This window comes from Homo sapiens, chromosome 1 (genome assembly GCF_000001405.40).
Source record: "Homo sapiens chromosome 1, GRCh38.p14 Primary Assembly".
Taxonomy (NCBI): Eukaryota; Metazoa; Chordata; class Mammalia; order Primates; family Hominidae; genus Homo; species Homo sapiens.
Genome location: NC_000001.11, coordinates 158,663,648 through 158,686,267, shown reverse-complemented (window position 1 = coordinate 158,686,267; position 22,620 = coordinate 158,663,648). Strand labels below are relative to the sequence as shown.

General features: G+C 37.1%; 1 protein-coding gene across 8 annotated transcripts in view; it reads left to right on the top strand.

Annotated features, from left to right (window-relative positions):
- The window catches only part of SPTA1 (spectrin alpha, erythrocytic 1), a 76,012-nt gene that overhangs the window by 448 nt on the left and 52,944 nt on the right, over nucleotides 1-22,620 (top strand). For 7 of the 8 annotated variants that reach the window (XR_921911.4, XM_011509916.3, XM_011509917.4 and 4 more), the window contains 15 exons: nucleotides 921-1,160; nucleotides 2,772-2,897; nucleotides 4,601-4,741; nucleotides 5,539-5,685; nucleotides 7,734-7,867; nucleotides 8,434-8,578; nucleotides 9,973-10,127; nucleotides 11,593-11,728; nucleotides 11,838-11,939; nucleotides 14,072-14,209; nucleotides 14,815-14,925; nucleotides 16,482-16,559; nucleotides 16,705-16,860; nucleotides 18,206-18,410; nucleotides 19,771-19,952. Coding sequence is in view for 7 of the 8 variants with exons in the window: in XM_011509916.3 (XP_011508218.1) it covers nucleotides 921-1,160; nucleotides 2,772-2,897; nucleotides 4,601-4,741; nucleotides 5,539-5,685; nucleotides 7,734-7,867; nucleotides 8,434-8,578; nucleotides 9,973-10,127; nucleotides 11,593-11,728; nucleotides 11,838-11,939; nucleotides 14,072-14,209; nucleotides 14,815-14,925; nucleotides 16,482-16,559; nucleotides 16,705-16,860; nucleotides 18,206-18,410; nucleotides 19,771-19,952 (2,196 nt within the window). In the remaining variant the exon portion in view is untranslated. The remainder of the gene's footprint in view (nucleotides 1-920; nucleotides 1,161-2,771; nucleotides 2,898-4,600; nucleotides 4,742-5,538; nucleotides 5,686-7,733; nucleotides 7,868-8,433; nucleotides 8,579-9,972; nucleotides 10,128-11,592; nucleotides 11,729-11,837; nucleotides 11,940-14,071; nucleotides 14,210-14,814; nucleotides 14,926-16,481; nucleotides 16,560-16,704; nucleotides 16,861-18,205; nucleotides 18,411-19,770; nucleotides 19,953-22,620) is intronic. The other variant, XM_047428883.1, reaches the window with a different exon arrangement.

Below are 22,620 nucleotides of genomic sequence, written 5' to 3'. Positions count from 1 at the left end.
TAGGGAGATTGAAGCTAAATAACACCTAGTAACAACGTGAGTCTCCATGTAATGATCTAATTCTATAGCCATGCCAGTAATGGCAATTCACAGAGTAGCAATTATACTTAGGAGGAATAATGGGAGATTAAAATTTAAACTCTATATTAAACATTTTGGCTGAGGTAAGCTAGGGAAAATGGTATCCATATCCAGAAGAATGAAGGTGAACCCTATGGTGATTTTGCTGGATATTGTCACAAACAGGTTGGCTCCCACTCTGGGAAAAGGATACTTATATATTGTTTTAGAGTAAAAGTTTTTATATTTCAAAAATAAATTGCAGACATGCTAATAATTTGAAATTTGTGACAATTGGGCAGAAGATAGCTGAACTTTTGATTTATAGTGTTTGTGAGTAAAGCAAGTAAAGAGTAAATATATGAGATTTATTTTTAAGTATGAAGGAAACAAAATTTTCAAACTGTTGCATATATCATTAACTAAATTAATTGCAAGCCATTCTTAATTATTTATTAAATTAAGTTAAAAATAATAAGCACTTCTCAACACCTTTTTAGCCCTTGAAAGCAATAACATTATATTTCTTTTTATCTATCTGAAATTATGTGATTTTGCTGATTTAAACTTGCTCCATGATCAGTCCAATATAATTATATCTATAGAACTTAAATGCTAGCACAAATTTATGTAAAAAGTGAGGAGAGTCTTCTGGATAATCAAGAATTTTTAACCTAAACAGAAGCTATGTCTGGTTAAAAATTACGTAAATATACTACAGCTCTTCTGACAATAGTCCCTAGAAACTTCAGGATATCTGAATATAGGTCCAACATGAGTAAACACCTTGACACATATAAGCGGGGCAACATGTTAAATATTTGAGAACTAGCAAGTAACAGAATCTTTTTAACTTGCAGGTTGTGGAGAGCAGTGGGCCAAAGGTTTTGGAAACAGCAGAAGAGATCCAGGAGAGGCGTCAGGAAGTGTTGACTCGGTATCAAAGTTTCAAGGAGCGGGTCGCTGAGAGGGGTCAGAAGCTTGAGGATTCCTATCACTTACAAGTTTTCAAGCGAGATGCAGATGATCTGGGGAAGTGGATCATGGAGAAAGTCAATATCTTAACCGATAAGAGCTATGAAGACCCAACTAATATACAGGTCACTCAGTTCTCTTGATTGCCTCAGAGCAGACCCTAAGATCTCTAGAGAAGGAAATAGGTTTTTCTTTATGTTAATGTTAATGGGTATGTGTGGGTACAATTAGATTCCGTTTAGAAACAAAAATAAGTCAGTGGAGTGGGAAGTTAAAGAAATAAATTAATAGAAAATCTAAAAGTGCATTTTCCCTTATGAAGTTGGAGAGGTGAGACTGAGAAAATAAGAATCAAACAAAAAGCAGCAGTTTTTCAGTTGTTGAAAGCACAGAACTGTTTTTTACAATGAACTTCCATTCAGAATATACATTTTTTAATCATTAACCAAGGATATTGCTTATTGATAAGGGCATAGGATACTTTACATATTTTCATGGTGAAGCATTCATCAATGCCAAAAGTAAAAAATTACATCAATTTTTTTTCAGATCCAGCACAAATATTATGGTAATGTAAGTGTATATCTGGTTAATTGTAGTGGGAGTGATGTAATGGAAAAATTAGACTGTCTGTTAGAAACAGTAATTCTGCCTCTAAATAGTCCATGTCTTCATCTTCATAAACATCGGGGTGTTATTTGCAAAGGAGATTTATTCTGTATAGAATTTGATGGTTACAATACTCATCTGAAATTGACCTACAGGCAAAACAGCAACTGCAAATTCAAGAAATTTCTGACAAACCATGTGATTTTTGATATTTTGGGACATTAAGAAGGGAAATAGGGTGAAGAGTCATCAATGCTTCTGAAGCAACTGTCCTCCACTCTTCTCAGAAATATAAGAGTTAACCAGGTTAACTAAAATCCAATTTAGTTAACCTGGTTAACTCAATTGCTATTCATGGCTCTTAAGTTTTTCCTAAAATGTTGTTCATGGGTCTCAAGTTCTAATGAGAGGTTTCAGTAGAAGTTTGGTGAAAGCTCCTACGCGTTTCTGATCACCTAAAATTATAGCATGTGATACCTGTTCTCTACTCTTCTCAGAGAGATGAGTTAACCAGAGTTTTTTTTTTTTCTTCCCTAAATTGCTATTCATGGCTCTTAACTTCAAAAGAGAGGTTTCAGTAGAAGAAATTTGGTGAAAGTGCCTACCCCTTTCTATTCACCTAAAATTATAGCATGTGGTGTTGTCATAATCAGAAGCAATTGATGTTGGACAGGAAACACCTAGAACAAGAGCAAAATAATGTGCTATATTGAATGGATCAATTTATAGATTACAAGAACAGGCACAGCATGCAAAAAAAACTCTCAATTTTTTTTTTTAAAAACCATTATTATAACTATCATCTTTCTCATTGTGCTCTACTTCCAAAAAAAAATCAGTTATTCCTCTTTTCTGATGAGGAAGGACACTGTGTGTTACACTCTTTTATTCCTATGGCAGTCTATTGAGCCTTTAAAATAAGGCTCGGCATAGATCATAAGGCTCAGCATAGCTCAGGACAGTATTTACTGAAAACTTCCTAAAGCCAGTGGGGACAGGAAAATACTCTTTATGGCCTCTGAGTCTGGGACCCTTTGAGAACCTGTGTTTGGTGGCTTTACATAGAGTGAACATTTCCCATGAAGACTGTGCTTCATTAGACAAAAACTCTGATTTCTAAACTTTAGGGGAAATATCAGAAGCATCAATCCCTTGAAGCAGAGGTGCAAACAAAATCAAGACTCATGTCTGAACTGGAAAAAACAAGGGAAGAACGATTTACCATGGGTCATTCTGCCCACGAAGAAACGAAGGTATATGTATGGGCCCTTGAAGAAGTTTCCAATTATTGATTATGTTATCAGGGTTTTAACTGATTATATGAGATATAAACCTTGAGTGGCTGGCTTATACCCAGGACTCCTGCCTCTTATCTTCCCCTGGGGTTGAGGCATAAAAAATGATGGGATATCTTCGTGTTTCTTGGGGTGAAGAGAGCTGTGATATTAAAGCTGTCATTAAATGGCATAAAATTCCTCCTATAACAGTGCAGGATAATTTGGCTCAAGATCAAGCCCACTTAAACCTGTTCCACATTATCCAGATCAATTAGTTTTTTCCAATGTTCTTTCTAATTATTTCCTCTAACCTCAATGTCCTTGTCTCTTAACTTCTCCAAATAAGGAATGCTCTCTCATTTGAATGTTTTCCAAAATATTTTTCCTTTGTCTATGATGCCTCTTTCTTTTCATACACCATACCCTATGACTACTATTGCACCTCTCCAAACTGTCCCTTCTTATTACTTCTAAAAACTCCCAAATGTCATGTAGTCAGAAAATTTTCTCTGAACATCTAGAAATGAAGATCATCACTATTTCAATAAGGATTCATACTCTGTAATCTATTATTAATGTAACAGCTATTTTTGGACTTAATCTACGAACTCTTCCAAATGTTTGTGCTAATATTGTCAATTCAATTTTTTTGTGTGTGAGTGAACTTTTTACTGTTTATGTATTTTTTTAATTGTCAAAACAAATTTGCATTATATATCTTAAAACTGGGTCTGGCCTTTCTATATATAGCATAAAAATTCTAGCCCATTCTGTCATCAAAATATGGTCAACGGACACAGATTTTAGCCAGAATAGAATCTTATTTTAAAGAAGAACCCATAAAAGGAAAATTTCAAAACTTGTTTATTTGTATAAAGTATAATTAACTTTTGTATTATGCACAGTTTTGCATGTAACCAGCATCTACATTAATTACAATATTTGAGAAATGTTTGAAACATCTTCATTTCTGTCAGAATCACTGGGGCTATAGCAAATGGTACCATTGCGGGGTTTAACGACATATGTGGTCCACATGCTACCCAGAGCAATGGAGTAGTTGAAAAATATAAGATTCTTGAAGATATGACATAGGTGGCAATTTCAGTTATATAAGACAGGTAATACATAATGTTCTGAGTTAATCTGGCATTCAAAGCCCTCTGTAGATTCTCAAACTGTATAGTCCCAAAACACTGTTATTGTTTCGGTGCCAATGATTTCCTTATAACTTATAAAAATTATAGCTCTCACACTTTCTGGCAGACAATTCATGCTAAGTTTCTCCTATGCCTTTGCTATTGCTGTTTGCTCTTCTTAGAACATGTTATGCTTATGATTGACCTGTCAAAAATCTTTCTGCTCCATAAGGCTCAGTTCAAATGAACACTTTTCCATGCTTTCTTCCTCCTTCCCATCTTATTGTTTGTAATTATTCCATCCTTTAAAACTGCAAAGCATTTTTACAAATTGTTCTCTTATGTAAGATCGCATTTGGCTTGGCTTGTTAGCTATTTCCATATATCTATCCTATTTCCTCTTTTAAATGTTTGTTGAGCAACTAATGCATGAGTAACTGAGAGAAGAATTTTTATCCAGGTCTCTTTCTGCACAAGTCTCTGAGTGTTTCCCTGCTCCCAGTGTCTGTGGCTGAGTGGTTTTGCCCCTCTTTCCTAAAGGCCCATATAGAGGAGCTACGCCACCTGTGGGACCTGCTGTTAGAGCTGACCCTGGAGAAGGGTGACCAGTTGCTGCGGGCCCTGAAGTTCCAGCAGTATGTACAGGAGTGTGCTGACATCTTAGAGTGGATTGGAGACAAGGTATCGAACTTAAAACAGCAATCACACAGGGCCTCCCACTCCTCTGTCCCAGGTACCCCATAGCAAATTACTGCAGACTACTCACAAGGAAGTCAGGATGTCTGTTCCTGGCTTTGTTCTTTGGAACAAGAGGAAATTGGGGCCAAAATGTAGGGGTATCTGGAGGTCAACATTGTATGGAAGTAAGTCTTAACATATGGATCTGAATATGAAAAAGGCAAGACTTACACAAAGACCATGCATTGAAAGATAATTAGGCTCATCTCTCTTCCACTTCCATGATTTTTAACTCCTTCTCCTATGTTTTTGCTCTTACTCTGGGGTCTGGCTGAGAGTATTGACAGCTCTTTCTCTAATCCTTTGTGTCTCAGTGCCTATAAAGATGGAGGGTTTTATTTTTCTAAATACTAAAGGAATAATTTAATAGTTAGGACTAAAGATTTAGATAAGCAAATGCCTAACAAAATACTTTCGTAGATACTGATATGTTGAATTGAGTAGAAACAGGATGAATTTATCCCTCATGTTTCAAAACACAAAAGGGTACTTTCAGGGTCTCTTGCCAGTAATGCCACAAACTTGCTAAAGAACTGCCCGAAAGAGCACTTTCCCTTGTGCCAAGGTGCTACCTTAACAAATATACTTCTGCTGCTGGCCTTTTCCAGGAGAGCTTCTCCCAGTCTCCCCCAGTATCTCCATTTGAGTTATCCTGGGAATGCAAGCAGGAGTTTTGAGTTTTTGACCTACAGAAACTCCTAAATGTTTGCTGGCAACTCAATCAACTTCTGTGTCTACAGGAGGCTATAGCGACATCAGTGGAGCTAGGTGAAGACTGGGAGCGCACCGAAGTTCTGCATAAGAAATTTGAAGACTTCCAAGTGGAGCTGGTAGCTAAAGAAGGGAGAGTTGTTGAAGTGAACCAATATGCCAATGAGTGTGCCGAGGTGAGGTGGGAGCAAAATATTCACTCCGTGCAAAGGGTTCTTATCCTTAAGAATAACTTCTGGCCATTAGTAGATGGATATGAAGGAGATGGGGCATTGTGAGAAAACAGAGGTTGGCATGTTCCTGGAGTAACATATTCTGAACAGTTTCCTCTCCCCTCTGGACCCACCCCTTACAAGTCTATTGAAATGGAGGGTTGAGAGAGAAAGAGAGAGTGTGTTTTTGTGTGTTTGGAGAAATTAAATACACAATGGGCAGTGAAGCTATTGCCATTTATATAGTAGCTTCTGTACCATGCAGTACACTGATTACTCATGTTAATGGGGCACTCTTTCTTCATGAAAAAACACAAAAATAAAGTAGCAGAGCATATAAAATAATGTTGAGCTATCATTATTTATACATATATATGCATATGTAATATCATTATACAAGATTATTTCGGAGGATTGAGGAAGGAAAGGAAGCGGTTTTACTTTTATTTACTTAAGAAAATACTTAAGTTTGTGATGTGTATATATATATAAGTTTACATGTATATGTAAGTATATAGATGTAAAATAAATAAACTCCAACAGTTGGCTATATTTTGCTTTTCCATTTATAGTTTCATTATGATTGCAGCTCTATAGTGAGAATGATTTTCCTGACTTAATAAAAAGAAGACTTCAGAATGAATGAGTGCTGGAGTAGGAAAAATAACCTATGTTTTCCTATTTTTCTTTCAGGCCATATTTCCAGTAGTTTCTAAATTTTCTACCTCCATCACTTTTCTCTTGCTGTGGAAGTTTTTCATTTATCTATTACTGTCTAACCAATCAACAAACTTAACATCTTACTTGTTAATGACTCTGTGAATCAGATGATTGAGCTGCTCTGCTGGGCTGTTTTCCTGATCTTACCTGGCATTTTTATGTGTCTGAAGTGATCAGGTGGCTCAGCTGGGGTGAAGGATCTAAGGTGGCCTCAATCCCATGTCTAGGGCCCTGGTGAGGATGATTTGGGAGGATTGAGGAGATCTCTGGGTGACCTCTCATCATGCAGTAGACCATGCTTCTTACATACCAGTGTTACAAGAGTGTGAGAATAGAAAATGAAAGTTTTCTTGAGGCCTAGGTGCTGGAACTCATAGAAAATTACTTCTGCTACTTTCTATCAGTAAGCAAGTTAAAGACCATCCAAGATCCAAGACTTGAGGAAACATACTCTACCTTTTGAAGGGATGAGCAGCAAAATAGCATGCGATTTTTTCCAATCTATCATAGAAAGAATAAATCCAACACAGCTAGGTTATATTCTGTGCTCTCGAGTGGGGCCTACACTGCTGTAATAGAAAGAACCATGTACTTGAGAAGGAGAATGGAGAAAATTCTGTCTGGAGAGACTTGGGAATGGGAATGAAAATGGAGAGAAACAGGGACAGGAAGAGTAAGGAGACTTAGGCATATGGGAATGCCTCAAAATTGCAAAGTATGAAAATAGACTGATGCTTCCAGCTTAATCTAGTATTCACAGATCTCACTACTTTGGATGGTTTGCAAAAATGCCTGAAATTTTATGCAAAATCATACGTGAAAGCACGTGTCTATAATTCTGGGAAGAGAAAAATAGCTTTTATTGGATTCTCAAAGGTGTGAGGACCACAAAAAAGTTAAGACCCACAGCACTAGTCTTTGAGAAAATTAAGTTGTATTTCATAAAAGGAATTTCCTCTTCTTTTCCTTGGTTTCCAGGATTTCAAGGAGATCTCAAGCATTGACAAGGTGGAGCTCTAAAAATAACATCAGGGCTGGGCAACCTGTGCTAATAGGCTAGTCCACTGCTGTGGGCACAGATGCAACATCTGGCAGGTTGTTTTTCTAGGTTTTGGTAGTGTGCATCAAGTTGGAGCTAGGGAGGAGGGCTATGATGAAGTTCAGTGTCTGGCTACAATGGTCAGTTTTCACTTCTGTAAAAGTATGAACTAATGTAAAATGAAAAGTGTTTGAATAATTTTTTAAATATAATCTCATCTCTGTATAACTCCAGTGTTGTTTTCCTTCAACAGGAAAACCATCCTGACCTACCCTTAATTCAGTCTAAGCAAAATGAGGTGAATGCTGCCTGGGAGCGCCTTCGTGGTTTGGCTCTCCAGAGACAGAAAGCTCTGTCCAATGCTGCAAACTTACAACGATTCAAAAGGTATGGATCTGGCCACTGCTTTATAGAAAACTTTGAAGTGCTTTATAAAAACCGTGTCTTTGTATTAGGCTCTTTCTACTTCTGTTAGCAATTAATGGTCAACACTTCAAACAAAAGTGGATCATGTACTTGCCTTTGGGACAGCAAAGGAGAAGGTAAAGAAATCTGTGACCTACTCTATGGCCAAGGATGTAGAGATTGGAGATCAAAATAACTAAAAAAGTAGCATTGGTAATTTAGGAATGGAAGCGCTGCAGACGGAAGGGAAGCAGGTTAATAATTAAATGGAAGGTGGAGTTAGGAAGAAGAAAAGCATTCGTAAGGAGCTGACCCAGATATGGAACATATCTCTAGAGGCTCAGCTGTCAAGAAGCCCAGGACCTTAACATCTCAATAGAAATAACCATTAAGTAAGAACATTTTATATTACTTTTTGCTAGTATGTAGGAAGAAAGGATAATTGCTCCTGGGTCAACTAGGATGGTCCTTGCTGTGAGTTCTGTTGGACCGTTTGCCCTGTAATGCTTGCTATCTTCTTTGGTTGGAGCTCTTGTTAATGACTGCAGGGATGTGACTGAAGCCATCCAGTGGATCAAGGAGAAGGAACCTGTACTCACCTCTGAGGACTATGGCAAAGACCTTGTTGCCTCTGAAGGACTGTTTCACAGTCACAAGGGACTTGAGAGAAATCTTGCTGTCATGAGTGACAAGGTAATGCGCTGTTAGAGAAATGGCTAACCCGTTGAGCTAGAAGAGGCAATTGTTGATTATCTTGCCTATTACCGTGCCTCCAGAGAGCACAATAAGTTCACTGTTTTCAATGAAGAAGAAATTGTGTGCACTTGAATACGCTTCTTCATTCTAGTTCATAACTCGTATGTGGATACTGGATATACCTTATTTTCATTTGAATTATTTTTATTTAAATATACACATATGTTTTATATTCTCTTGTGTTTTCCTAACTTATTTCACAATTTAAAAACAAAACAAATATACCTTCAAGGTTGATTCCTAATCTCACTGAGTAAAATACACCGTGGCCAGACTCTACCCTTTCATCTAACCACATTTTGTTCTGTTGCAGCTGAATCCTGATTCTTTTTGTACTCAGTAGATCAGAAAAACATTGTCTTCTCCTTTTAAAATAAACTTCAAGACACTTAATGCTAAACCTACCTTTAGGTTTCCTTTTAAAACCTGGAAAACCTCAGGCACACTAGAACTTAGAACAAGCCTATTTTCTTAAATGATTTCCATCCTTTACTTCTTCCCCTCACAAATGTAGCCAGAACGTAAACCAATTACTACTGAGAGTGCACAGGGGAGTCAGCCCACAGAAAGATCCACATTTGCTGTAATTTAATTTTAGGCCTGTCCCTGTGTCCAGTTTCTGCAAACTTCCACCATTCTACTTTTTCTTTCATTCTTCCTTTTTGTTGTTGTTGTTGTTTTTGGTCTTTTTCCCTAATAATGAATAATAAAACCCATAAGTTGACAAATAATGGTATGGAAATTCCAATCCCTAGACATCATCTGATTATAGTTGAGTATGATGAAAGGGCTAATAACATGTGAAAACCCACCCATATCCACATTTTGCCCTAGTAACCCTGCTCCTCAGAGGTTGTGCTGAAAATTATCCAGCATTACTGAAATTTTCTTGGCCTTGTGGACAGAAATGTCTTTCTGCCTCCCACAGTAATATTTAGGGAAATGTTATAGAGGGGTGGGGAAGGAAAAACTTAGTTTGGAACCTTGCTCCTGACATTTTCTAGCTGAATGATCTTAAGCAAATAAAATACTTAATCTCTCAGTTTTCGCATAAAAGAAAAATAAGAGTAATTCCTACCTCATGGTATTATTAAATGAATAATATAAAATGAGAACGTTCATGTAAAGTACTTAGCATAATGAGAGACTGAAAAGTACTTAGTGAATTGTAATTATCAATGTAGTACATTAGTATATTAATAGAAATCTATTCATATGTCGATTTCTAAATTATTATTATTCATATGATTTTTTATACCTCTCCCACAAAGCTTTGCCAGGGGGAGTCAGAGTACTTGGATTTCCTACTAGGTTTCTTTTTCATCCCAAAGGTGAAGGAGTTATGTGCTAAAGCAGAGAAGCTGACACTTTCCCATCCTTCAGATGCACCTCAGATCCAGGAGATGAAAGAAGATCTGGTCTCCAGCTGGGAGCATATTCGTGCCCTGGCCACCAGCAGATATGAAAAACTGCAGGCTACTTATTGGTGGGAAATCCCTCCCCTTTATTGCTCTACCTATCTCTACAGGGCCCAGATATAATAGCGAGAGAAGAAATAAGAGTAAAGGGAGTCAAATAGCGAGAGAATCAGCTCTCCTGCCTGCTCAGTAGAGACAAAATATTTAAGTTGCCAAAGGAAGTCCTTTGTGACTGATATAATATAGTAGCACCCCCTTATCTGTGGTTTCAGTTACCAGCAGTCAACCACAGTTTGAAAATGTTAAATGGAAAATTCCAGTAATAAATAACTTATAAGTTTTAAATTGCTTATTATTCTAAGAGGCATGATAAAATTTCTGGCTGGTCCACTTTGTCCCACTGAAAGATGAATCATTCCTTTGTCCAGCATATATGTGCTGTATATCTACTCACTCGTTAGTCACTTAGTAGCAGTCTAAGTTATGGATTGACTGTCTTAGTATCACAGTGCTTATGTTTAAATAATTCTTATTTTATTTAATTGTTCTATTTTATCATTAGTTATTGTTTGTTAATCTCTTGCTGTACCTAATTTATAAATCAAACTCTATCATAGGCATATAGGTATATGAAAAAATGTAGTGTATATAGTGTTTGGTACTATCTGCAGTTTCTGGCACCTGCTGGGCATATTGAAATGTATCTCCCACAAATAAAGGGAGACTCCTGTGATCAGCATCACACCTCCACTCATCTGCAAATTTCCATCTTCCCCTGCTTGTATTATTGTGGGATGCTATGAAATGGGTCAAAAAGCTGGAAAAGCAACTGAAGAAACATTTCAAAATTCTGACTCTAGATAAGGAACTGAAAGACATGCAATACAAGCTGAAGAGCATCAAAATAACTTCAGTATTATTTCCTGAATGTGGATTACAAGCTTACAAAAACCCCTAATAATCAGGCATCATTTCAGTATTAATTCTTATGGTTAGTCCTTAAATAACCAGAGGACAGTGCTTGTCATATGATTGTGATTTCAAAACAAAAGATGAGCATTTAACTTTTTAAAATAGGAAACTGTTTTGCAGCTCTTGTTTCTTATTAACAGGGTTAAAGATGAGCTAGATAGATGAGGAATCCTAATGCTAATTCTAGTTCTTCCTTCCCATAAGGTGATTCTTATTTATATAACAACATGTATTGTTTATTGGTTGCATTATGAGCACCTTACTCCATTTTAAGTACCTCTAGGGTAGGTGTGACCTTGAGGTGGTGGAGGTGTAATGCTCATGGGTCACATCCCACAGCAACACACGTACCCTAGAAATATAAAACCTGGGGTGAAGGACTTACAACCTGCACCACTAATCTCTGACTGTAAATAACAGGAAATAATCAGGAAAAAGGGAACCTAGGATTAGAGTAAGGAGCATCTCACACATCTTACCTCACCCCAAACCTAAATCTTTGTTCAATGTCCTTTCATATCTGGTTTCTCCTTCCTGTCTTTTACCTCACTTTTCCCACAGGTACCATCGATTTTCATCTGACTTTGATGAACTCTCAGGCTGGATGAACGAGAAGACTGCTGCGATCAATGCTGATGAGCTGCCAACAGATGTGGCTGGTGGAGAAGTTCTGCTGGACAGGCATCAGCAGCATAAGGTAGAGAAGAAAGGCTGCCCAGTAGGAGGAGGGGGCAGGTTATTTGGCTGAATGCCAGAAATGCCAGGTTTCTTGCTGCATTTTGAGACACTTTGTTTTGTGGCCACAGCATGAGATTGACTCTTACGATGACCGATTTCAATCTGCTGATGAGACTGGTCAAGACCTCGTGAATGCCAATCATGAAGCCTCTGATGAAGTTCGGGAAAAGGTAATCTAGTTTAACAGAGTTTGTCAAATTCCAATTATATATGTAGTCATTACATAATCTCACAATAATATGATAATCTCTAAATGGGAAAAGAATAGAAGTCATTTAAACGTGTTAATAATATGAATCAAACTTTTACACTGCTTCCTTTCATATACAGTTATCACTTATTATCCATGGGGCATTGGTTCCAGGACCTCCCTCAGGTGCCAAAATCTGCAGATGCTCAAGAAACGGCATAATATTTGCATACGATGCATGTACATTCTCCTGTACACTTTAAATTATCTTCAGATTACTTATAATACTTCATACAATGTAAATGCTATGTAAATAATTGTTATACCGTATTATTTAGGGAATAAGCAAAAAGTCTGTACATGCTCAGTACAGATGGAATTTTTAAAAAATATTTTATACCCATGGTTGGTTAAATCTACAGGTGTGGAACCTACAGATATGGGGAGTTAACTCTACTGTTTTGCTAAATTGAGTCACTTGAAATTTTCAAGACATGATGTGTGCTTCCTCATCTCTGAGCATTTATTTCATCAACCCTCTGACTTCTACCTAATTTGAAACCTCCATTCCATTTTGCCTCCTGACGTATGCCCAGTTTCGTGACCTTCCCATGCTCATCTCTAGACTGTAAACTCCAGGAGGACTGCACCTTATTCATTTCTGGGTTCCCCACAGTGCCTAGTACAGCATCTGACATGGTTGACATCTGTGCATGTTCTTCTTTCCTCTATACAATCTCAAATTAAGCTGACATTCCTGCATCTGTGATTTTCAAATTTGCATTAAATAACAGGACAATCTTAAACACCCAGCATTCCACTGAATGAAGAAATCAGTTTTACCATCATCCTAACCTCCTACATCATAGGGCTTCACCTCTGCACCTTGATCCAGAGAGATTTTGCACCAGTGGCAGAGTCTAGGCACACCTTGGAATGATAGTTACAGTAAGATCCGCATGCCTCTTTGCATCTCACTAGATGCCAAGCACAGCCTCTAGCACTGTGCAGTGGATGAGGTTGAGATAACCGAGTTTTGAATTCTCCCAGAACTCTGTGGGAACATTATAATATAGTTTTTTTTTATTTTAACAAGGATCTGTCAAAGAAAAAGCAGAACTCAAAAGTACTTAAAAACTTAACAGTTATCCTGGGATTCTGATAGTTTATTCTGCTTTTTTGTTGTTGTTGACAGAGTATCACTCTGTCCCCCAGGCTGGAGTGCAGTGGCCAACCTCAGTTCACTGCAGCCTCTGCCTCCCGAGTTCCAGTGATTCTCCTGCCTCAGCCTCCTGAATAGCTGGGACTAGAGGTGCGCACCACCACATCCGGCTAATTTTTGTATTTTTATTTTATTTTACTTTTTTTTTTTTTGGTAGAAACCGGGTTTCACCGTGTTGGCCAGGCTGGTTTTGAACTCCTGACCTCAAGTGATCCACCCACCTTGGCCTCCCAAAGTGCTGGCATTACAGGCATGAATCTCTGCACCTGGCCATATTCTGCTTTTTTGACGGAGATAATACAGCTGCAGGTGTAACAAGCTGGAAATTCTTGGGCACATGCTTGACCAGAAACAAAGGCTTTTTCATGTGTTTGAGAATGTCTCTTCTCTCTTTCCCTGATGGTTTTTATTTGTTTTGGGAATAAAATGCAAACTTCTCAGTGTGATGTTTTATGTGCTCTATGAACTTGGATTTCATTGACTGTCTACACTTTTTTAGACACTGCACTTTTCTCTAGCTCACATTACATTATCTAAAAATTATTTGCAGTTCATTTGCTTATGGCATTAAGTCCTGATACCCATTCCCTACCTTTTAAATCTCTGTTTGGTATGAGATTTTCCATGCTTTCCCATACTTCTACTTCCTGGCTCTCTTAATTAGAATTAGTCTTTTTCATTTCCTTATACATATAGTGTTTTACCTCTTTTATGGAATTTATCCCATTCTTCCTATAGTACAATCATTTGCTTAAAAGTTGGAATCTTAAAAGCCCATTTGCTGTTTATTTTTGTATCCTTAAATGGCTTTGCATTTATTATATGCTCAATAAATATAGAATAAAATAAATTAATTATCTTCCATATACATTATCTCCTTCTTTCCAAAGATGGAAATACTTGACAACAACTGGACTGCCCTGCTGGAACTGTGGGACGAGCGTCATCGTCAGTATGAGCAGTGCTTGGACTTTCATCTCTTCTACAGAGACAGTGAGCAAGTGGACAGTTGGATGAGTAGACAAGAGGTAACGGGAGGGGTCCATACCATCTCTAGAAGTAATTTCTCTCACCCTTCATTTGCCACCATGACTACCATGAGTTCCCTCACAACCACTCCTGTGAGTCAGAGCTTGTCTTGGGAACTAAAGGGTGATCCACAAGAAAAAGAAAAGATGGGCCCTTTCTATAAGGCTCCTACAATTCCCTCATCAACAAAAGCATATATACTTAAATACATAGCAGAGAGGCTTTAACTACAATTGAAATAAGGCAAAATAAATATCAAATTGGTAAAGGGTCAGGAAGAGAAAACTGATGAGTCAGGCAGGGTACATCAGAGTGGAGGTGAGTAGGCCACTTGAGGCAGTTTTGAGAGCTCAGAATAATGTCTAGACTGGTTGAGGAATTCCATGTGGACAGACCCAGAAACATAAGTGAGAAAATTGTATGAGAGTATCAGGAAGGAGGCCTGAAACTCCTGCTGTTTAAAGTTAATTTCTACCCATTATCATAATGTGTGCTAATTCCCACCTTGTTCCCTCCTGCCTTAGTCCTTGTCTCAGAGATATGCCAAGAGGAATGTTTCTTACCGGTCAGACACAGCTTAGGTGTGTCTTTCTGTCTTCTACAGGCCTTCCTGGAAAACGAGGATCTGGGAAACTCACTGGGCAGTGCAGAAGCCCTTCTTCAGAAGCATGAAGACTTTGAGGAAGCCTTTACTGCCCAGGAAGAGAAGATCATAGTAAGAAATTGGCCCTAGTTTGGGCATTGGCTCCCTCTCTGTATACATAATTTTACACAATACCTGTCCCCAGACAGCATTGCTCCTGTAACTACCAGACATAGCCTGAGGATTATCCCTAATCAAGTTGCATCTCTTCTTTCGTTGTTGGTGTGTTTATTTGTGTGTTTTTCAAACTCTTTAATTTTATAAACATAAAATGTTTATATAGTGAGAAAGCCAAAACTTAATACTAATCTTTAGAAAAAAAGTGAAAATAGCCAGAAAAATACTCATACCAATTTTTATCACACCATTCTTGTTCTACAAAGCATATCTGGAAAGTTTTTCTAGATGGTAGCCATGTTTTTTTTTTCTGATGAAGTGTATGGTTTTGTTTTATATTTTCTTCAGTGTAAATAGAAATTATTGAATTCTTATTCAGTATAGAATCATTACTTAGAAATTTTATTTTTTTTCATTTCTTCCTCTCTAGCAATATCTTAATATAATTTTCTCTTCCTTGGTAACATCTAGATATCTAAGTACTGTCTACTCTTTTCCTTTACAGCATATTTTTCCTTTATAGTATATCTTTATCTCTGTTTTTCATCATATATGACTACAGAGTTTTCCTGTGAGCCTTAAGTTACAATGTCCCAGAAAGCTGGTGAATGTGAAGGCAGGACTCAGAGAAGTGAAAGGAAGACTTCATGGGTCCAATACATTGTATGTCTCTGGCTGTTCCTAGGATGATGCTGACTTTAACACCACCCTTGCCACATGCACATACATACCACTACCTCCACCACCAGCAGCAGCAACAACAAAAATAACAGGCAAATTCCTAGTCTTCTCTGTTAATCTTAAATCAATATGGTGAAGAGGTGGAAGTCCAATTAATATCAAGTCCCTCATTAATTGATATGTGTGTCCTTTCTGTTGATTCTCATTGGTCAAAGCTAACAGTGTAAAATAATTTATTGTTTATAAAGTGTTATCATTTATTTTAGATCATTTTCTTATTCCAATCAATTAATTCTGAGCTCTAGCAATTTGGGGGATTTCTGGTTAAACAAGGGTGAAAACTTACCTCTATAATTTCTGACTCTTCTCCTATGTAACTGGAGATAGAGATAGAGATATAGCTAGAGCTAGAGATAGAAGGAGATAGAGATAGAGGTAGAGATGAGATAGAGATAGAGATATATTTGAGAGATGAATACACGGATAGATAGATGGATGGACAGACTGGCCATGGACATGGCTATATCATTGGTAGTGCTTCCCCTTGAAGACAAGAATAAATCAATCATCTCATAGCAACATCTGCATTCATTTACTGTAACCTGTATTTAAAAAATATTGTGGTACAGAGAATGTAATTGACATGCCCTGAGGTATATATTTTGAAATACAATTTATAACAGAAACCTGAATAAGGACTTACATCTGCTGGCCTTCAAACTTCTCCTCCCACATTGCTGTTCTTCATCTTTAAACAGCTACCCAAACTATGGCCACTTACTCAGTGGTCACTGAAGGAAAAGCATTCATTTTTATTTTTATTTTTTCAGACTGTAGACAAGACTGCAACCAAATTGATTGGTGATGACCATTATGATTCAGAGAACATCAAGGCTATCCGTGACGGGGTATGTCCAAGGGCCTAGAGCTTCTGTGTGCCTACACACTAGAATCAAGAAGAGTTTTGGTGGGCATGGTGACCAGGGTGGTCAGCGAATCTCACATGTCCATATTTGGTTGTGCTGACAGTAAGTTTACTCATGGTTTTTGCAGCTGTTAGCCCGGCGGGATGCCCTACGTGAAAAGGCTGCCACTAGACGTAGATTGCTGAAGGAGTCATTGCTTCTGCAAAAACTGTATGAGGACTCAGATGACCTAAAGAACTGGATCAACAAGAAGAAAAAGTTGGCAGATGATGAAGATTACAAGGTAGGCAGAGTTTTCAGGAGCTGGATGTAGTTATCAGGAGTTCCTTTCATTGGAAGTACAGTCTTGGAGTAAAATGAACTTTAGCGTTCAGCTGGTGATCCTCATTTTATAGATGACAAAACAGAGGCTCAGAAAAGGGCAATGAATCCCTGAAGGCTATTTATACAGTTAAATATCAAGGATCTAGATTTTGGTTTTCCTATATTCTGATGTTCTTCACCTCTTTCCTCTGGCACAATTTCTGGTGATTCTTAGCCAAATGGGGGAAGGTAGGGAATGTTCCTTATTGAGCTGCTTATTGACCTTTTCTCACCTTTTCTGCTCCCCTCTGCATCCGTATAGTAGGTAAATGTTGTGTCTAATCCCATCAATACATTTAAAGTGTGTGAAAACTACTAGGAACTCAAAAGTAACCTAAATATTTGGTATAATATAAACTTATAAAATTTTATAGCTGGAAGAGAACAGCCCCTTATTTTATAGTTAAAGAAACCAGGATCTAAGTTGAGAAGTGAGTTGCCCAAAGTTATGCAGTTATTTAGAAGGTGGTTTAACAAAAAGTTAGAAGCATGAACTCTGGAGCAGGTAAACCTGGGCTTGAATTTTTGCTTTAGTTTGTTTATGGAAATTCCTGAATTATCTCTGTGCCATAGATTACTCTTCCTTAGGGTTGTACTAACACATATATTGCACTCAAAAATGTTATATAATATAAACTATTATGTACACACTTGTATGTTTACAAACCTTCACATTTACCATCAGGATGAGAATTAGGCTTTTGATTTCTAGGCCGGTATCTATTGAAAGTGTTTATTTTCCTGATATTATTTAGTTTTAAATGTATACTTCTGATCCTTTTGTTCTTATATCTTGATAGAGCTATGAACATCTTATCCTTGCATTTCATTTTGTGAAGCTTGTTCATATGTGTTTGCATTCACTAGATGAGTTATGGCTCCACTATATGTTTAATAAACAGATCTCTATATGGGTCAAATGGATGGAAGGTTCATGTATGCGGTGAGGAATGCAAGATAATTTTCACCTTTCATGACAGCTCTGATTGTTAGTGCTTGAATGGGGTGTCATATTCAAAATGATCTTCAAGCCATATCTAAGTCCAGCAAAAAAATTGCCAGCTTAGTTCGCCATGTCTGCCACATGTAGAAAGAGGGATTCATTGCATGAATTTCTCAAACGTTGGACTAGGAAACTTCCCCCTTTTATCTTCTTGTTAGCATCGTTCGTTAGATTTATAGTGAGAAGTAACCTCTTATTCTCAAAATTTCTGTCCCTCATTCTTCAGGTAATGGTTTTTTTTTTTTTTTTCATCTTATCTCAGGACATACAGAACTTGAAGAGCAGGGTTCAAAAGCAGCAAGTCTTTGAAAAGGAGTTGGCAGTTAATAAGACCCAGCTGGAAAACATACAGAAAACTGGCCAAGAGATGATTGAGGGTGGTCACTATGCCTCTGACAATGTGACCACTCGTCTGAGTGAAGTTGCCAGCCTCTGGGAGGAGTTGCTGGAGGCTACAAAACAGAAAGGTAAAAAGCAGAGGTTTTGGTGAAAGGTCATTTTCTAAATTCTGAAATCTACTACCTTTATCTTTACCACTGTAAATTTATCTGGTGGCCTCTATGAGAAGGTATACTACTCATTTGCTTCCATGTGTCTTTCTTTTATTGGTAAAATTTTAAAAATCCAACCTGAATTTATAACACTATATATTAACACAATTTTATGTTTCCTTCAAGGGTGTAAGGTTTTTAAAAAAAAATTTTTTAGCAGTGGCAGGTGAGCTGAAATTGCTTTTGTTTTCCTCACTTTTTTCCTACTTTGTTGTTTTTCTTTCCCTTGAACAAGTATTTTTGAACCATGAGTTTTACCTATTTTGGTTCTATAAGCTAGACAAGATATTATGACTCATTAGACATTAAAAGATTGTTGATGTCACACGTGATTTTCCTACATTTTATTCTTACAGAGACTGATGACTTGTTGATCTTTTTAAACCTATTTGAAAGTGTTTAGGCTTGCTATAAGATCTTAAAACAATCTCACATGTCTTCTTGGAGAGTCTTCACTTATATTTTACCCTTTACTTTGGAAAATTAATCAATTTTTAGTAATTAACACAAATAATGAGTTTTCTATTCATGTGCCCCTTGTTATAAACATCATCTATAAACATAACTTTTCCTTGATTACAGAATAAATATGTCATACTGATTTTTTTTTGGATACCATCCTTATTTTTGGTTTAGAAAAACAAAATCAAACTTGGTATGACAATATATCACTGCTACTGTTCACCATCAGGAGACACAGCAATTCCTTTGCAGAAATAATGCAAATAATTGCAATAAGATAATAGTACAGAATCAATCTGAGCAGAGTGTGAATGAAGACATTTTCTGGAAGATAAAATTGTGGGGAACAGTTGGTGATGAAAGACAGGCACTAAGGGGGGAAAGCGAAGTTCAGTGAAATAATTTTATAAAAAGAAACTTATAAATTTCAAACTGAACCAACCTCATTATGCTTCTCCTAGAAAATAGAGTGTTTGGATTTGAATTTCCTTGAAAAAGAGGTCTGGATAGAGAGTAAAAATCACATAAGGAAACACCCAAGATGGTTAAAATCTGACACAGCAGAACTATATCTTATCAGGCAATATAACTTCTTATTTATTTTTGCTTTGAGAACATTACTATATTCAGAAACAAATATTATCAGAATTCTACAAATTTAAGATGACTTTTTGTGAGACATGTGAGACAGTTATATTTCCCTCTTTGCAATATTAAAATACTATATTGATCCTTCAATTGGAGGAAGGTATATTATAGTGTAAAGAGGAATAGTTATGGTACCTAATGTCTTCTACCTTATGTCTTCTCCCAGGGACCCAGTTGCATGAGGCCAACCAGCAGCTGCAATTTGAAAATAATGCAGAAGATTTGCAGCGCTGGCTGGAGGATGTTGAGTGGCAAGTCACCTCTGAGGATTATGGGAAAGGCCTGGCCGAGGTACAGAATCGACTCAGGAAACACGGCCTCCTGGAGTCGGCTGTGGCTGCTCGTCAGGTTTGTTGTTAGCTCTTTGGCCAGCCATAAGCAATGGGTGTATATGCTCTGAGCACACTCGTTATTAAGTAATAAGTAATTATTACTTATTAATTACTTAATAAGTAATAATAAGCAATGGGTGTATATGCTCTGAGCACACTGATTATTAAGTAATAAGTAATTATTACTTAATAAGTAATTATTATTATTCAGAGAGCAAAAGAGCAAAGAACCAAAGGTAAAAATTCGAAATTTTTAGTAAACCAACTGCTTTTTCCCAAAATCTCCTCCAATCTAGCCAGGGGTGCTGGGTGCTCAGTGTCTTTGGTCAGAACCTCATGGTTAGTGTAAGGCTTTATTGACTTTTCTAAACATAAACTCTTCTCTCAATCTAGAAATCTGGGTTGTATATACATCCTTGTGGCTTACTAGTTATGTGATCTTTGATAGGTCATTTCACTTTTTGCATCTCTGTATCTTCACTATCCTCACCTATAAAATAAGGGGTTGGGATAAAGTTGTCTTTTCCTGTTCAGGTATTCTGTGATTCAAAGCTTAAAAATATTTTAAATCCTACATTTTTTTAAAATAAGGAAAATTGAAACCAATAGAAGTAAAGTGACTTTCCCAATGTGACAGCGAAAATTAACAACAGAGCCAGAACAATGAACTGATGTCAAGGTTTCTAGTTTCAGAGATATTTTCTCCAACATCATAACAGACTCTTATTTAAAATGAATTTATTCCAAAAGTTCCTAGGTTGTGGATATTCTATGTGAGGTTTGGGAGATTTCAATGGAAATCCACTTCCAGCCCATTCAATTTCTCATCCCAGGAATCCTAGCTTGTATTTAAAAATGATTCCGCCATTCCCTAGAAGATCCCACTAATCTGCCTTTAAAAATACACTTTCATGATGCCTACTCTATGGTCACTCTGAGTTAAATGGAAAAAAACAGAATAATCTACAGAAAACAGGAAAAAAGTCATTTGTATACCTTTAGAGATGGCTCTCTGGGGCTTTAAATAAAGTAAAAGACTGGAGTAGGAAAAATCATACAAATATAGCTCTGAAATCTACCCGGAGAACAGAGTTTCAAAGGATGGAAGGGTATAATTTGTTTAATTTTTTTCTTTAAAAGCAAACAAAAAAGGACATCTTGAAGAAGATAAAATGTTACATGTAAGAGCTTAAGAAATAGGAGTGTGTGACACCATTTGGGAAAGTTAGGGTGGCTGGTCACCAGGAATTTGAACTCCTAATGTGGGTAGAGGCAAAGAAATGATACATGCAAAGGAAATTTTAGATATAGAATGTTAAAGTTGAAAAAGATCTTCAATATCTTCTAGCCCAAAGTTTTCATTATATAGTTTAAGAAACTAAGATCAAAACAGGTGAAAGAACTTTCCCCAAGATCAAATGGCAATGGACTGGCAGCCAAGTATATGAGCCAGATATCCTCTCTCCCTCGCCTGGTGCATCCTGCACTACGTTAGAGGTTTTCAAAGAGTACAGTGGATCTATAGTGATGATGATAATGATTATGTTTGAAAATCCTTCCATTATGTTCTGATTTACAAAAATGTCCTAAGAAATGAGAACAGTTGGCTACTGAGGGATTTTAGTTTTATTTCCTTATAAGTTATCTGATTTTTGGTTTTAATTTATTTTACTTTAAGTTCTGGGATACATGTGCAAAAACTGCAGGTTTGTTACATAAGTATACATGTACCATGGTGGTTTGCTGCACCTATCAACCTGTCATCTAGATTTTAAGCCCTGCATGCATTAGGTATTTAAGTCCTCGACAGGCCCCGGTGTGTGATGTTCCCCTCCCTGTGTCCATGTGTTGTCATTGTTCAACTCCTACTTATGAGTGAGAACATGCGGTGTTTGGCTTTTCATTCCTGTGTTAGTCTGCTGAGAATGATGGCTTCCAGCTTCATCCATGTCCCTGCAAAGGACATGAACTCATTCTTTTTTATGGCTGCATAGTATTCTATATTGTATATGTGCCACATTTTCTTTATCCAGTCTATCATAGATGGGCATCTGAGCTGCTTTTAAGTCTTTGCTATTGTAAATACTGCTACAGTAAACATACATGTGCATGTGTCTTTATAGTAGAATGATTTATAATCCTTTGGGTATATACCCCGTAATGGGATTGCTGGGTCAAATGATATGTCTGGTTCTAGATCCTTGAGGAATCACCAAACTGTCTTCCACAATGGTTGAACTAATTTACACTCCTACTCACAGAGTAAAAGTGTAAGGCCTTTAATTTTTTTATGGAGAAGTGAGTATGTGCTTTAAGAAGTTACTGATAGTCCATATTTTTAAACTTTTTTCCAAATTGAGGAGCCATAGATAAAATCCTTTATAGATTGAGCACTGAATGGCAAAATAGCAAAAATAAAACAAAGTGCCAGATGTTTCTCTGTTCTTGAAGAACTTCTTTTTTTATTATTATACTTTAAGTTCTGGGATACATGTGCAGAATGTGCAGGTTTGTTACATAGGCATACATATGCCATGGTAGTTTGCTGCACCCATCAACCTGTCATCTAGGTTTTAAGCCCTGCATGCATTAGGTATTTGTCCTAATGCTACCTCTCACTTGCTTATGTGCCACTCTTATACCCAATGAACAAACGAGAAAAAAAGGCAAATAAAAATCCTGGG